Genomic DNA, 17,054 nt, shown 5'->3' with positions numbered 1-17,054 from the left:
AAATATTAAATGGGAATGAATTTAAAAATACAGTTAAAAGGCAGAGATTGTAAAATAAATTTTTAAAAAGATTCAACATGATGTATACAAGAAACACATTCTATATTCACAGATACAAATGGTTAAATAATTAAGATGGAAAAAAGGATGTATGAGGCAAACTGTAACAATAAAAATGTTAGAGTAACTACACTAATGCCAAACAAAATAAACTTTAAAAAAGGTGAATGGAAATATAAACAAAGATATTTTAGAATAATTAAAGAATCAATCCATTAAAAAGACGTAACAATGATAAACATATATGTTCTTAACAACACAATCCCCGCAAATACATGAAGCAAAACCTGACAGAATTAATTGGTGGTGGAAATATCCAATTCAACAATAACTGCTGGTGATGTCTATACTCAATTTTCAGTAATAGATAGATCAACTAAACAGAGATCAACAAGAAGATAAGACATTTGAATAATACTATGAATCAACTACATCTAAAAATATTTGTAGAACAGTATCCCAAAACAGATTAATGGCTTTTTTTCTGATGTGCATATGGAATATTCTCATAAGCAGACCATACACTAGGCCATAAAACACAACTCAATAAATTTAAAATAATGAAAATTATGTAAAGCATGCTCTTTAACCACAATGAAATAAAATTTGAATTAATAACAAAAATAAATTTGGGAAACTCAAAAATATGTGACAATTAAACACAACCTACTACTGAATAACTACTGGATAAAGAAAATCAGAAGAGGAAATGGAAAATACTTTGATGTTAACTAAAACAAAAAGACAATATACTCAAACTTATAAGTGGAAGCTAATACGTTGTTCAGAGAAAAGTTGATAGCTATAAACACATATCAATCAAAAATACCTCAAATCAATAGCAATAACTTCTGCCTAGGACAATGAAAAAATAAGAGCAAACTAAACAGAATAAGTAGAATAAGTTAAATAATAAAGATTAGAGCAGAAATAAATGACAAAGAAAATAGAAAACTGTAGAGAAAATTAATAATACCTCAAGTCTCTAGCTACCATTCATCACCATAGTTCAGACAGCAAACAGAAAAGTGACATGAGGAGTGGTGGAGACTGACAGCATGGGGTTTCTATTCCATATTGTTTTTCATGATCAAATAGACTGAATTGTGCATTACATAGAGAGTAATTTCACCATGCTCACGCTCTTAGCTCATGTCCTTATACCAGTGCTTGAATTATTATAACAACCAAGAAAGGACACAGGGAATGGTGGAGAGAAAAAAAAAAAACAATGTATCTTTTAAGAATAGAAGGAGAATACAAAAATAACCTCAGGGATAAAATTGTTACCTTGACAAATTTAAATTTATAGAAAACAAGAGGTCTCCAATACTTCATTAAAGAGAGGCAGTAGTATATATGGAAGGCAGAATTATTTTACAGATTTTTGGGTAAGGTACTTTATACTGAGCTCACATTATCTTTGACGCTGAAAATAATGCAGATAATTTTTCATCTTTTATATAGATAAATTAAGTTCAAATCCAGGCGATATCTTAACCCATCCCTCCTAAATATAATTTAAAAATTGTTAGTGAAACATCAATTTAAACAAAATAAAAATTTTATTGTATATTGGATGTTACCCATAAAAATCTAGCATGAATCTAATTTTCTTTCCTATCAACTTTTCATTCTTATTAACTGGCCTGTCATTTCAAACAGCCATTTTTCCTCTAGTATACTGGAACAAACATCAGGTTTGTATGCAAAATAGTAACATTAGAATTCTTATTCTCTCCCTTAATAACATTGCAAATTAGTTTTTCAAATATTTTTATAGCCTTGTTTTCTTCTACAAAATATGAATATCAGACCCTAAGTTGTTTCTTATAAATACCCTATGAAGTGTGCTAAAATTTGAATTGCCTTTATTAATAGTAAGTATTGAGGTAACTGTTCTTTTTAAAGAATATGTAATTCTATGACTCCTTCAGTTTTCTTTTAAAAATTCCTCTATATACCACTTGGTACCCATTACTTTTAATGGCAAAAACAGCAATTATAAACAATCATGATCTTTCCAAGTTAAGAGTGCTATGTATGAGCAGTGTGTTCCCAGGATAAAATTTAATAAGAATTCATCCTACAATACAAGCTTTTCAAGTGATGTGTTCTGTGCTGGGAGTGCATTGCAGAGAAGGCAGCATGTCAGAGTATCTTCAGGAACTGGAAGGGCCTAGGTTTACTAATCAATCTCTCTACTTTCTATCTTGTGACACTGGACATCCTGAAACCTCATTTGATTTAAAGACAGACTCTCTATGGTGTAGTTACTTTGAAATAAAGTGACATAACTTGTAACTTCTTCTTAAGGAAGGTCAATTTTTTATGTGAACAGAGAGTAGATAATTACAATTGTATTTTAGTAATTACCCAAAACATATATATGCATCATGGAATAAGTCTTATATACCAGTCTTATTTACCAAGTCATAAACATGTAGCATAGCTCTTCTGCTTTAGAACAGATAATAATTTATTAAAATATTTGTAACACTGTAAAAAATGTTTGTATCCCTTAAAAGAGATTATTTGTCTTTAGAAAATGGGGCATGCTCATGCCTTAAAAATATGTTTAACAGATAGATACTTATTATATGTATTCTATAACAAACAAAAATTCATTTCATAATATACGACTACCATAAAAAACAACCACTTTAAAAATATTTCCTCCAGGCTGAGCACACGGTGGCTCATGCCTGTAATCCCAGCCCTTTAGGAGGCCCAGGCAGGAGGATCACCTGAGGTCAGAGGTTCGAGACCAACCTGGCCTAAATGGCAAAACCCAATCTCTGCTAAAAATACAAAAAATAGCCAGGTATGGTGATGCATGCCTATGATCCCAGCTACTCAGGAGGCTGAGGCAGGAGAATCACTTGAACCTGGGAGGCAGAGGTTGCTGTGAGCCGACATGGTGTCACTGCACTGCACTCCAGCCTGGGCAACAGAGCCATACACTGTCCCCCCTCTCCCTCCCCTCCTCAAAAAAATTTCTGATTATATTGTTGTTTACTGCTAATGAGAAAAATCCATGTATTTTATACTGCTTTAACATCCAAACAACTCTGTAAGATATTTTTTCATTTAATTTGTAGTATGTTATTTCTTTATATATTACAATATTACAAAGATTAAAATTCACTTTTGTTGTTGTTGTTGAGGCCAGGTTTTGCTCTGTCACTCAGGCTGGAGTGCAGTGGCGTGATCTCAGCCCACTGCAACCTCTGCCTCCCAGGTTCAAGCGATTCTCGTGCCTCAGCCTCCTCAGTAGCTGGGACTACTGGCACCCACCACCACACTTGGGTAATTTTTGTATTTTTATTAGAGACAGGTTTCACCATGTTGCCCAGGCTGATGAGTGGGCAACAGTGCTGAGCTCCAGTGATCCACCTGCCTCGGCCTTCCAAAGTGCTGGGATTACAGATATGAGCCACTGCGCTCAGCCCTAAATTCACTTTTTCTTGTTTTTATTTCTATTTCGTTTTTATATATGTCCAGAATGACAGGACAATATTTAGAAGAGATTGGAAACAACCACCACCACCACCACCAAATGATCAATCCACACATTTATATACTCAGTTATACTCTTAAATGCCTTGGATTATTTATTTATTTATTTATTTATTTATTTATTTGACGGAGTCTGGCTCTGTCACCCAGGCTGGAGTGCAGTGGGACGATCTCGGCTCACTGCAAGCTCCGCCTCCCTGATTCACGCCATTCTCCTGCCTCAGCCTCCTGAGTAGCTGGGACTACAGGTGCCCGCCACCACGCCCGGCTAATTTTCTGTATTTTTTTTTAGTAGAGACGGGGTTTCACCGTGTTAGCCAGGATGGTCTCGATCTCCTGACCTCGTGATCGGCCCGCCTTGGCCTCCCAAAGTGCTGGGATTACAGGCCTGAGCCACCACGCCCACGCCTTGGGTTATTGAAAGATTTTGTTAACGTTAATTAAGTGTTTCAAAGATGATGGTACATGATATTAAAATAAGCATTCCTTTGCAAAATATTGATTTGAAGGTTAGGAATATGAGCTACTCTGAGAGTCATTTAAAAGTTGATCTAATTAATATTTATTCCCACTTTAATTTTATGTATTTCTAAATTGCTAAGAATTACATTAACCAACACATTTGTCTATTAGTCACCTCTTTCCCCTGCCGTTCTGAAAATATGCTACAGACATTCTATTAGGGGACAGCTCCAGTAACAGAAGGTGGAACAGATGGCTTATTTCCAATTTTATTTTTCCAATAATAAAAGGGCTTTCATTGTTGTTAACATCTAAAGTTCATTCAAGAAGATACCTACTATGACAGATTTTTTTAAAGAAAAAACGTACTAGCTAATTAGCTAAGAAAGAAGCTTTGCATTTTGTGACAGAAGCTTTTTCTATTGACTTTAATCAAAAGAAAAATTAAACTGATAGAAATTTGCCTTTTAAGTTGAAAAATCTTTTGTTTTTCCCAGTTTAGCAATAAAAAATAAGGCAAAAATAGAAAAATAATGACAGCAAAGAAGAGGGAAGGTGAAAAATGATGAAGTCCAGAAATAAGAAATATTTTTTAGTTTTATTTTCAAAATGTAATGATTTATGGAGAAGATAATCTATCCTCAAAGAAATACAATTTATATTTGTTACCATGAAGGTTTTATATTTTAACTTCATCTTTTTTCTTTCTGAATCTGTTTATTTTTAAATTTGTTTTAAATCAGAATTTAATATACACACATTTTATTCTCAAAAAATATATGTGGGCCAGGCACAGTGGCTAATGCCTGTAATCTCAGAACTTTGGGAGGCTGAGGCAGGCGGATCACTTGAGTTCAGGAGTCTGAGAGCAGCTTGGGCAAGATGGTGAGACCCTGTCTCTACAAAATATTAGGAAATTAGCCATGCACGGCAGTGCACGCCTATAGAACCAGATGCTTGGGAGGCTGAGATGGGAGGATCCCTTAAGCCCAGAAGTTAGAGGCTACTGTGAGCCTTGCTTGGGCCAATGCAGTCAAGTCTGGGTGACAGAGCGAGGCACTGTCTCAAAAATAAATAAAAATTATATATATATGTGAATTTCGATTCCATTCTTTTGCAAATTGGTCAGTCTTGGTATAGGAAATGAAATATAATAATATAATAATATGATATTTAAGACAAGAACATACATAGAAAAAGACTATATAAAGGAGACTAAGTAGAAGCAAATAACAGGGTGAGAGTAAATGATATTCTGGGTCAGTTTTAACTCAGTGGCTGGGGTATTGACAACATTATATGTGAAGAAATAACTGGATAGCTAAGATCCAATTGCAATGAAAAAGAACAAAGAAAACTGTGTTAGGTTGTGTATTTATGCACTGACCAGGTGAAGAGGCAGTGAGATATAGTGTTTGATGTGCATGGTCTCCTAACTTGGGTTAAAGTCCAAACCCTGATTCTTCCCCTTAACAATGTTATATTGGCTTCAGTCAGCTGTTAACTCAATTGTGCGTGCCTGTGGGATTATAACTCCAGTTTTGCCTTTTGAAACTCCAGTATCTCCCAGTACTTATGCAAATACACAATATCTGAATAGTGCTCCCGAGAAAAGATCTACTGTCATTGACCTGTGACATTGAGGGAAGATCAAGTATACAATCCAACTCAGTGGTTCTCAACCAGGGGTGATTTTCTCCCCTAGTGCATATTTGACAATTTCAATATGTTGCAATATTAGTGGATGTCACACCGTAAGAGGGCAACTGGTGTTAGCGTTACTGACCTCTAATGGGGAGGAAGCAGGAGTGGTGCTGAATGTATGCTACAGCTTCCCAGAACAAAGAAATATCCAGTGTGTACATAGCACTGACATAGGTCAGTTTTATAAGAGTTGAGTATTTGCACATACAATTTTTGAGCCACAAAATAGGAAAATGGAAGTAGTGCATTTAAAAAGTCATATTGTATTTGTAATGATAAAAGTCTTAAAATCTAATATCAAAAAGTTATTGTTAAATATCAAGAATATGTTATATTAAGCTCCAGAATCAGATATTTTTAACCAACAAATATGCTAATAATAATGATTTTCTGCTGGCATGATGAGGTTGAGTAGGTGTAATTTTAATTTGCTAAAGTATAAAATTTGAAGATAAAAGTAATCTATATCTGTCTAAAACAACATCAGAACATTCTAGATTCCACAAGTCAGTATTTGACAAGCATGAGCCATTTATTTCTTTATGTTGTGCAATACCTAATGGCTGTAGCTAGTTACATCATATCCACTTTCTCAGCACAATATTTATTCAGTAAAAAGGCGATAAGTGAGAATACAATTTTTAATTTGGTGATAATCAGTCTATATTTACTTAATATATAACTCTAACCCAGATAAAACCCAGATAGAACTTTTAGTAAAACAACTCAGAAATGTAAATTTCCTTAATAAAAAAATCCATAAATAACATACAATAGGCAATCATGTGCAGACTAATTATCATGGTTTGTTTCAGAGGCTATATATGAATTTAATGGTTTTGCTGCCAGATGTGTTCAACACACCCATAACACAGACATAACGTGCTTTGCCTCATTGAGTGCCCAAGATGTTTAGATGTTTTCATTCTTGAAATGTAATGGAGTACTTTTAAAAAGGCATAACAAAAAAGAAAATAACAGTAGTTGTTTAGTAAATTGGAGATATTTTATAAGCAGAGACATTGTAGCCTTGTATCCCCTATGCTTATTTCAATAACTTACACATTCTAGTTAAATGTTTGTTAAAAAATAACTAGGTACAAATTTCAACTTAGGTAAATATTTAATATTTATTATTTTGATCACATTTTATTAAGCATTTATATTGCAATTATATCCATTAAATAGCTAATGTTTGTATCTTCCGTTTATCAAGGATTTTATAAAGCATTTTCTTGTACATTAACCTAATTTGACCTCATAACATAAATAATGTCTGTTTCCATTTAATTAATAAAAAATTTTGAATGAATTAGACTTATTTACAAAACCACATTATAGAGCAAAATAAAGGAAATTTAAAAAAAAAAAAAAAAAAGAAGGGGAGAAGGAAAGCAGGACCAAAAAAAAGGAAGGAAGGAAGGAGGAAAAAAGGAAGGAAGGAAGGAGGAAAAAAGGAAGGAAGGAAGGAAGGAAAGAGAGGGAAGGAGGAAAGAAGAAAGGAAGAGGGATGGAGACAGAGAGGGAAGAAAGGAAGGTAGGAAGGAGAAAAGAAGAAAAGAAAGATAACATTGTTTTTAAAATCAGGGTTGAATGTGGGTGTTGCTCCTAATCTGCTGAAGCCAAGTTTCATTAGGAATTCAATATATTAATTAAACACAGGGAAGAGTAAATGGTACACTGCAAAGTCATACTGTATATATTTATTAAAAATACATTTATTTATCAAGACATCTACTTTTATATTCATGTGCTGAGTAGACAAAGACACTGCTGCCACAGGTTGGTATCAATGTTGTGTACCTAAAATAAATGTTCTCTCTCTGAATGGTGTAAAAAATGTGTGTGGGGTGTGTGTGTGTGTGTGTGTGTGTGTGTGTGTGTGATATAATACATAAATATATTTTCCCATAGAACTTTGTCATCAAAATCCCCAAAATAGAGAAAAAATGTACTATAAAAATTACTACAAAAATGTGTAAAAAGTTAAGGTAAATTTAAAACAATAAAAGAAGTTTAAAAACAGTTGGTGGGTTGTTCGCAAAGCTCCTTTGCATTCTCCTTTGCAATGTGATTTGCCTGCTCTTCTCATCAATGGTAGAGACTATTTCCTCAACCCTCGAATTCTGAACGTGTCTTGTGACTTGTCTAGGTCAATAGAGCATGGAGGAAGTGAGATTTTGACCATCCAAAGCCTAAGTCTCAAGAAGCTTTGTGGTTTTCCACTGTGCTCTTTTGAAACACAGTCCTAATGTGGCCATTTAAAGGAGCACAATCTAGTGCAATCCAGCCTACTGGAGGATATAAGATCTGTAGACTCTCAAGCCAGCAGCAAGTGACACTTCCAGGCACGTGAGTGCCAGTCTTGAATCATTAAGTTCAAGTTTCAAGGCACCAGATGAATGCAGCCTCACAAGTGATTACAGAGAAGACAGCAAAAGTACTTTTCTGCTGACCCTAGCTCAAATTGCCAGCCCACTCGTGTGCGAACAATTGAAAATACTGCTGTTTTAATCTAGTAAATTTGAGGATGGTTCCTTATACAGCAATAGGTAACTGACACATAGAGTTTCCTGAGGAAGTAATGTCTGCTAGACATGGAAACCCTGTGGTGAAGTAGTATGGAAAGTTACTGAGGACAGAAGGGAGATCAGATTCTCTAGAAGATACTGTAGGTTGTTTGTTGGAAGCTGCAAGTATTTTATTATTTCTGGAGCAAAGCTATGTATAGGAAGAAGTGTGGCCCAAGACTTTATCCGAAAGATCATATAATTTTGAGGATTTTAAATTTTATAAAGGTGCAATGGAGCATTACTGAAATATTTTTTAAAGGGGTGTAAACCTTATTTTAATTTTAACATGATCACTCCAGTAACTAAATCTGCAAACACATTTTGAGAAAAAAACATGCACACCGGCCATTGGGGCAGATATTTTAATGGTTTAGCAAAAGGGGATGGAGAAGCAAAGTAGAAGCTTAATAATAATTTATTTAAAGAAAGAAAAAAGATTTAATTTAGTTTGGGATTAGTTCCATTGATATTAAAGACATTTTATATGTGAAAAAATGATTACAACTGTGATCCACACAAAATTGTAAAGATTCTCATTTCAATAGAAAATCTTACATAAAAAATCAGAGGCCATATCTTATATAATGGATAAGGTAAAATAATAAATTAAAACAAGATAAAGACTAGCACATATATTTAAATTGATGGTATTTTGAAATGTACATAATATAGTTTAAAAGGAAATGTAATATTATCCGAAGACTTATAATCTAAAAGTCATAATTTCCTGTTCAAACGGTTTGTAGATTTTTAGTTTCATGAAGAACAATGTTGAAGTATAAGGAAAAAATGTTTTTATTTAAAATCACCACAAGCAATAGTGAGAAGTAGCTTTTGATTTTTTTCTATCAGACAGAGTTCTGTGCAATTTTTCATTGTAAATAAATAGCTGGAATAGGAGCATAGAAAATATTATTCATCTCTATACCCAAATGTAAAATAAAGGGTACTGAGATACATTGGAGGAGACTGAAAATGCCACTGCATTATAAATAAATGAAAGCCTAGAGTTTCTATTGTCTTTCATTCAATACAATGGTAATAGCCAACATTAAATACGTGTTACTACTATCAGAAGTGGGAAAAATTAACATACTCTCTGATACTTTCCAGTAAATATTTTAGAATACATCATCCTTCCTATTGTCCTGTATTCAATAAAGTAAAATTAAGGGATATAAATGATTATTTTCCAAAAGTAGGTTTTATTCTGTGTTGGTCTTCTTTTAACAAAGGTTTTGCCTGCTGTCAGAACAACTGAAGATTCTAACAGCTGTGTGGCTGACACATTCATAGAGTGTGGCTGTAGAATGGCTGGCAACTCTTATACAAGTTATTAAGTAAATCTTTCAACGAGCTCTAACTTTTCTTGATGTGATCCAATGCATTTAAAATTAAAAAATATGCTTTTTAGGAAACAGTACACTTATAATCTTTTGGTGATGAATTTAACCATAATAATGTTTCATTGCAAAACATAGACAAATCTTGGAATGATTTTTTTCCTTAAATAATAAATCAGTTTTTCCTTATCCTAGTTTTTCAGACTGACTACAAGTATTGGACAGGAAATGATTTATATAAATGAAATGTTGCCTATAAAAGAATTTTTGTCAAAAAATTCACAGTTATAAACCATATGTATTTTTTCTAGTTCACTTTTACTCAAAGCCCCTGAAAATATGAATGAGAAAATAACTGTTCCTCTTACTTTCACAGAACCAGCCATCATGCCAAAGTGACTTTCAGCATTGAACTACACCTCACAATACCTGCATTCTCTTTTTTACTACAACTTGCTGGTAAGACATTGAGCATCTCACTTAATAATTTTATTTGTGAGCTTAATAGAGATATACATTATTTAGTTTACCTATGTGATGTGCTTCCAGGGACAGAAAAAAATGCAAAGTTCATTCAGAAAATAATTCCATACCGATAGTGTTCCAATGATTGAAAGCCAAATTATGTATTCAATGCTATTTGTATGAGGTCAACACCTGAACATATTATTAGACATTAAAGTATTTATTCTAATACTTGCTCAGATTATCTAGACTTAAATGCAAAAGTATTGACTTACGCCCCTAGCAAAAAATTCCTGAGATTAACAAATAAAGACAAATTCATGAGATTAACAAATAAATACAAATTCATGAAATGGAGCACTGACTGTAGACTCAGACAAAATTGCTGAGGTTATGATAGAAATGTGTGTGTATGGAAAGATAGCTAAAGAAAATTGCTGCAAAGAATCTCATTTCTGCATAATTAGGCTTTAATCACTGAAAAACAGGAAGATTGAAACTTTTTCCCTTTATTCACTGTTTTTATAATATCTGGTACAGGATCTGACACCTCTCTCTCTCTCTAGTCTCTCTGCTTCCCTCTCTCTCTCACCCCCTTCCTCCTCTGTCTCTTTACACACACACACACACACACACACACATGCCCGTGTGAAGGCATACATTACAATTTTGACTATGAGCAATTTTGGAAAAGATACACGACACAAAACATAAATAAAAAGTAATCAAAATATTTTTTGAGGTATTTGTTTGGAAGTAAAAAAACTACTCCCAGACACCTTTTAATCTTTGTGTCCACAAATAACCATTAATAACATTTTATTCTGTTATTAAATAACCATTAGTAACAATAATATTTTTAGAAATATTTCTTAAAATAGGCATTATTTTTAAATGCCCTTAAAGATGTAAGATATGATATGTTAAGAGGCATTGCTTTTTATACTCTCATATGTGTTTCTTTAATGCTAACCTGTTATTGGCAATTAGATTTCACAAAGATAATGAAGTTAATCTGGGATTAAAAAAGGTTTATTGTCAGCCTCTCCTTCTATGACTCATTCTTTTAATACCAACTTAAGACAATAACATTAACATATTATCTACCATGTCCTACATACTATTCCAATAGCTTTTCAAATACTGAATGATTTAATCATTTAATAAACTTTTGATTTTTATAAGGGTTTTAGAGATAAAGAAACTCATTTTACAGAAAAAGAAAATAAGAAAATGAAAGCAATTTATGTTCCAGAAAGTCACATGCTAGTTAATGGTAGGACTGGTGCAATTCTCCTAGCTGTGTTTTCACTCACCACTCTACACTACCTCATCTGCTTACGCATGGATGATGTGATTTTATTATCACATGCACTGAGAGTTCTAACATACAACTAGCTAAACTAAATACTTCCATAAAAATACGCAGTAATTATTTTAAAGTCATTTAAAAATATATTGCCAGTGAATCAAGTGTTTTAGAATGCATACACAAAGCTACAAAAAAATACTTCATATAGATACTTGTATTACCTGAATCATACTGATCACTCATTATTCAGCCATCTAAATACTCAAACGCACTACCATCAATAGTCTGGTTCATTTATTTTTAATAATATTAAGATACATAATGTGGTGTTATTTTAAATGGAGTTGGAAGTAGAATTTACTCATTTTTCCTGACATGGGAAATACGATCACTAGATCAAACTGTACTATCAATGAGCTGAATATTTGGAGAACATTATTTGTCTCTTTGTAAAATCAATTCATATGACCTGCTCTAATTGTTTTTATGCAAATGTTGCATAACATTTCCATGTTATGAAGGCCTGCTTCTTATTTTAGTTTGTCCTGGAACAAACTATAAAAATTAAGTGCAAGACAAATATTTCACCAAATCATTCTCATTCCATTCTCATTAGTTTATAGAATTTGCATGCTTTTTATCAAATTACATTTTCTGTGTTTTACTTTCTCTTATTTTCCTTTTGACTTGTTTTTGTCATTTATTCATTTTAATCTCTTGCGTTATACATACATTCTACTGCATTATGCACATACACATGCATATATAAGCTACTTATTAACTATAAACTATTTGTAAACATAGTTACAAATAATACTGAATAATAGAGAAATATACAGGTGTACTAATTTGTTCTCACACACTAATAAACATATGTCCAAGACTGGGTAGTTTATAAAGGAAAGAAGTTTAATGGACTCACAGTTCCACATGGCTGGAGAGGCCTCACAATCATGGTGGAAGACAAAGGAGGAGCAAAGGCACATCTTACATGGCAGCAGGCAACAGAGTGTGTGCAGGGGAACTGCCCTTTGTAAAGCCATCAGATCTCAAGAGACTTATTCACTATCATGAGAACAGCATGGGAAAAACCTGCCCCCATGATTCAATTACCTCCCACTGGGTCCCTCCCACAACATGTGGGGATTATGGGAGCTAAAATTGAAGATGAGATTTGGGTGGGGACACAACCAAACCATATCAAAAGGTAAATGAATTAAATAGCATTATAAAGGTATTAGGGCTTTATTTTTCATTTAGAATGTCATAAACACTTTCACATAAATTTATGTAATTTGGGTATATGAAACTTTCAATACTTGCCTAATCTACCATTAAAAATCTGTACCACAGTTAACTATTTCTGACACAGTGGTACATCATTCAGAATTCATGCCATTCAATCTTTATAGAACAGTAGCCTCAGAATATCTATAGGTGGCAAACAATGTTTCCATTGGTGGTCTTGCTTACATGCTCCCTTGTCAGTAGTATTTATTCTGAATCTGCTCAGTGTTCTCCAAATTGCTCACCAGCTTCTGTGTTTAACTCAGTAGGTTTCTAACAGCAGTTATTGATTTATGTGTATTTCACAGAATGAATTTAACATTCTAGATTTATTGTTAGTTAACACAAAAGCAAATATTCCTCAAAATTTTCCTCTCAAAGTCTGACATTCAGAAGCCCCTCACTCCATGGAGGCGCACAAACTTTCATGATGCAAAAAAAACTTTTTATTTTTGTCAGAACCCAAATTCTCTCCCTTTATTACAGGGAGATTGTTGGTTAGGTAAATGTTTTGAGCAGCATAATGACATGAAGGATAAGTCTCTCCTAGGGCCATGTTTAATAAAAAACAGCTATACAATGTTCTGTCAGTCAGGTACTGGCTGTAATTTTGAAAGGAAATTTTTCTCAGACAAAGACAAAAGTTATATTTTACTCATAGTAGTGAAAATTTACTAGAGAGTGGTGAAAAATGTTATAGGTCAGGAAAAATAAGACAGTGAGATAAAAATAAAGATATATAATGGATAGGTAAATTTAATTTTTGCTTTTGAATTTATGCAATTAGAATACTGTGTCTGTGTTCCTATGAAAACTTCACTAGTGTCTCCATGTCTACTTTGAGACATATATCCATATATTAATATTACCTCAGTGTGACGACAGAACAATAGCAAGACTGCTGTTTTGTGGACATCTGTAGCTCTGTGGCACTATTATTTCTTGGATATGAAGATTATCTCATATTCTTCTCCAAGTGTTTCCTCTTGGAGCTCAAAAATAATTAAGCAAATAGACACCTTTGAAAAATTCAATGAGGCTTATTATGCAAGGAAAATATTGTTTCTATTTGTATTTCCTTAAACTTTATATTCAATTTGCAATTCTCACTGTACTTATAAAAGAAATACGTTTTTTGATAAAATTAAGACCACTTAAGTCTTCACTTGTTCTTTGGTTTATGCTCAATTAACTTGTAAATTTGACAGATTAAATTTTTCTAAACATCTATGACTATTTATAAACTTCATAAAATAATCAAGACACTTCAGATTACAATTACAAATTCAATTGCCTAATTCTTTCAAGCACTTCAAAACACTTAATATGTGAGACTTTAAGAGCCAGTATGCAATTTGCTGAATTCCATCTGCCTGCCAGGGAGACCACTGATGTGCCACAAGGTTAAGAATTTGTGAATTTAAAACCATAGGTAGAGATGTTGGAGAGCAGAGCTTGAAGACATAGACCTGAATGAGGATAAATTATTTTAATTTGTGCCATAGATAATGCTAAGACAGAAGTGATATTACAATGGCTGTAGGATGTTTGTAGACTTGATCCGATGTTCCTCTCTACAAGTTTCCAAGGATAACTAATATATCAAAAATAAAGACATATTGAAATTATACACATAAATCATATATATGAGTGTGTATATATGTATATATGTGTATACATGTGCTAGGTTGTTACCAATTATTAACAAATGTCTTATCACTTGGATATATTATAATTACGTATTTTTAATTTTTATGTTCCGTTAATGAAGTTTCAACTGTTTAGTGCAATAGCTATCATAGTGATAAGTTTCTAAAATTACCTTGAAAATTTGGTGTTATGCATCTTAAAATTCTAAAGCAATATTTATTGCTGAAATAACTAGTTTTTTCAATTTTGCTTTATCAACTGGATTTCTCAGGATTCTGTTACCTATATAAACTGATTTTAAAAAGAAACTGGTTATGTTCCATGTGAAAAGATGAGATATGTAGAAGGATGTTGACTATATTTAAAGTATAAAATAATCCATTTGTAATAATATAATTATTACATACACGAGCATACATAAACACATATACAAATGCTACAGTTTGAAACATTTTGAAATTGTAACTCCTCTAGATTGTCTACATTGTATTGGTTTGCACTATTTTATGACTAATAACAACAATATGGGATGGCAAAGGTTTTTAAGTGCTTTCTAGTTTCTAGGCACTACCCTAAGCATCTTCTCCGTTACTGGCTAGGGTTATTTTTCATTTTTAAAATTGTTTCACAAACATTGTACGTGGTCTTTGAAATTATTTAATTTAGATTTATTGTGATGTTAATATTTTTATTCTCTTGTTTCATATTTCAAGTGAAAAGGAAGTTATCTGGTCTATTATTATTGTAGTGCAACTAAAAGCTTTTATTTTACGTTGCATTCGTGAATCATAATAATTACAATGTGACTGCTCATATTTTTTTTCACTTTGAAATCTTTGGATTTGTCATGATTTAAATCATCTAAGACTCTCCATATTTTCCCAAACTCTGAAAAAACTTCAAAATTAAAAATTCACAAAGTGCTGCCCTCAATGCCTTTTTAGAGAAAGCTTTCTGGATATATATATTTCAAGTATATTTCATCTTTATTGGTTTGTTCTTATTTTCTTTCTTGAATCTGTTGTGAAAATATTCCATATATTTATTTAAATATTCATATTAATGTTCATAAACTATTTACATTTAAAATTTTTAACTGTTCTTCATAATTTGATTATTATCCTGTCTCTTCAGTATCACTAAATAAATATTGTTGCTTTTTCTACCCCAGTTGTTTTCAGCAGATGTGTTCATTTCTAATTTTTAAGATATGTTTGTGTTAATTTTATTGTTTTTTTCTTGTTTCTAACTCAAATCATTTATCTTTTAATTTTTATAATTAATTTATCCCTTAAATGTATTATAAACAACACTATATTCAGTTCAACTGATAACTGGATAAATGAATCACCTGGCATACGAATTTATTTAGTCTAATTTAGATTTCTTGGAATATTTATCACATTTTATATAATTATTCATAGAATGTTTACCTACCTCAACGGACCTTAAACTCACACATATATATAGTTATATATGATATCCCTATAGTTGGGATATATTTATAGTTGGGATATATCCTAACTATAAATTGTACATATATATCCCATTCAGCATTATGTTCCCTTTGCCTAGCAACATGTCTGGCATGTAAAACTTATCCAATAAATGTTAGTTAAAATGGATCTAGTCTATCTACTAGTCATGTATATTGGCATATTTTTATCTTATAAAGTTATATTTAACTCCACAGTTAAAAAGAGTTTCTTTATTATTCTTCCACTAGCATTGGAACTAATTTATCCATTTCAGTATAACTCTAATTGGCATATGATAGTAAACTGTTCTATAATAACTGTTACATAAGAAATTGTTTTAGTATAAATTATCTTCTTCTAATAGCTTTTTTTTTTCCCGCAGCAGATTTCTTTTTTTTTTTTTTTTCTGGTAGCAGAAATCCCCATTTGATGCCAATTCCTCATCATCATAAGGGAATGTAATCAAGGATTCTTTCCTAATAATGTGAATAGATGTGCAGTGACTGACAGAGGTGGTACAGCGGGTTTATTCTTCTTATGGCAGTGATCTTCTGACTGTAACCCAAGGGTGAAAGCTCATGCACTCTTAGCAACAAGTAAATTGTACGAACATGCCCCAGATATTTCTTCATTTATTTGTAAATTATATACAGTTTAGTCTATTCTGAAAATATACAGTTTTTTAAAAATTGTAAAACAAATATGTTTTTCTTTACTGTGTAAAATTAAATATCACTGAGAGTAAAAATATTTATTTGGCCAATTTCGTTCACTTGGGAACTTCAGCACTCGCTGATCATTAGAGTTATCCTGATTTTTTCCTTCTTGAGTACTGATGTTGAGCTAGTCCTTTGTTAGTCCCCTTATTTTATCAATAAATATTTTTCTTAGTATCAGTTACTGTTGCTTGCAACTGGAGAAAATTAATAGGGAATATAAAATTAGTAAAATTAGTATTAAAGTACAGATAAGATGCCCTCAAGGACATGTGTAGTATTGGGCCAAGATGAAGAAAAAGCCAGAGATTCCTACTATCACAGACATATTCAAAGGATTGAAGGAATGCTTAGAACACTGAAAAGGGTACTTGGTTCTACACATATTAGTCAATTTGAGGAAGAGATTGCATGACTCTGCTGGCACTCACCAAATGCTCATACGCTCCCATGGCCTTCCATTATAAGTTGCTCCTTGTCACAAA

General features: G+C 32.4%; 1 long non-coding RNA gene across 1 annotated transcript in view; it reads left to right on the top strand.

The window, feature by feature from the left end:
- Positions 1 to 16,601, top strand: part of LINC00559 (long intergenic non-protein coding RNA 559) — a 59,471-nt gene extending 42,870 nt beyond the window's left edge. The window contains exons 5-6 of the long non-coding RNA NR_047489.1: positions 10,038 to 10,120; positions 16,236 to 16,601. This is a non-coding gene — a long non-coding RNA (long intergenic non-protein coding RNA 559). The remainder of the gene's footprint in view (positions 1 to 10,037; positions 10,121 to 16,235) is intronic.
- The last annotated feature ends 453 nt before the right edge of the window (positions 16,602 to 17,054 follow it).

The sequence above is a fragment of the Homo sapiens genome, chromosome 13, assembly GCF_000001405.40.
Source record: "Homo sapiens chromosome 13, GRCh38.p14 Primary Assembly".
Lineage (NCBI taxonomy): Eukaryota > Metazoa > Chordata > Mammalia > Primates > Hominidae > Homo > Homo sapiens.
This window is presented reverse-complemented; position numbering and strand designations above follow the sequence as displayed.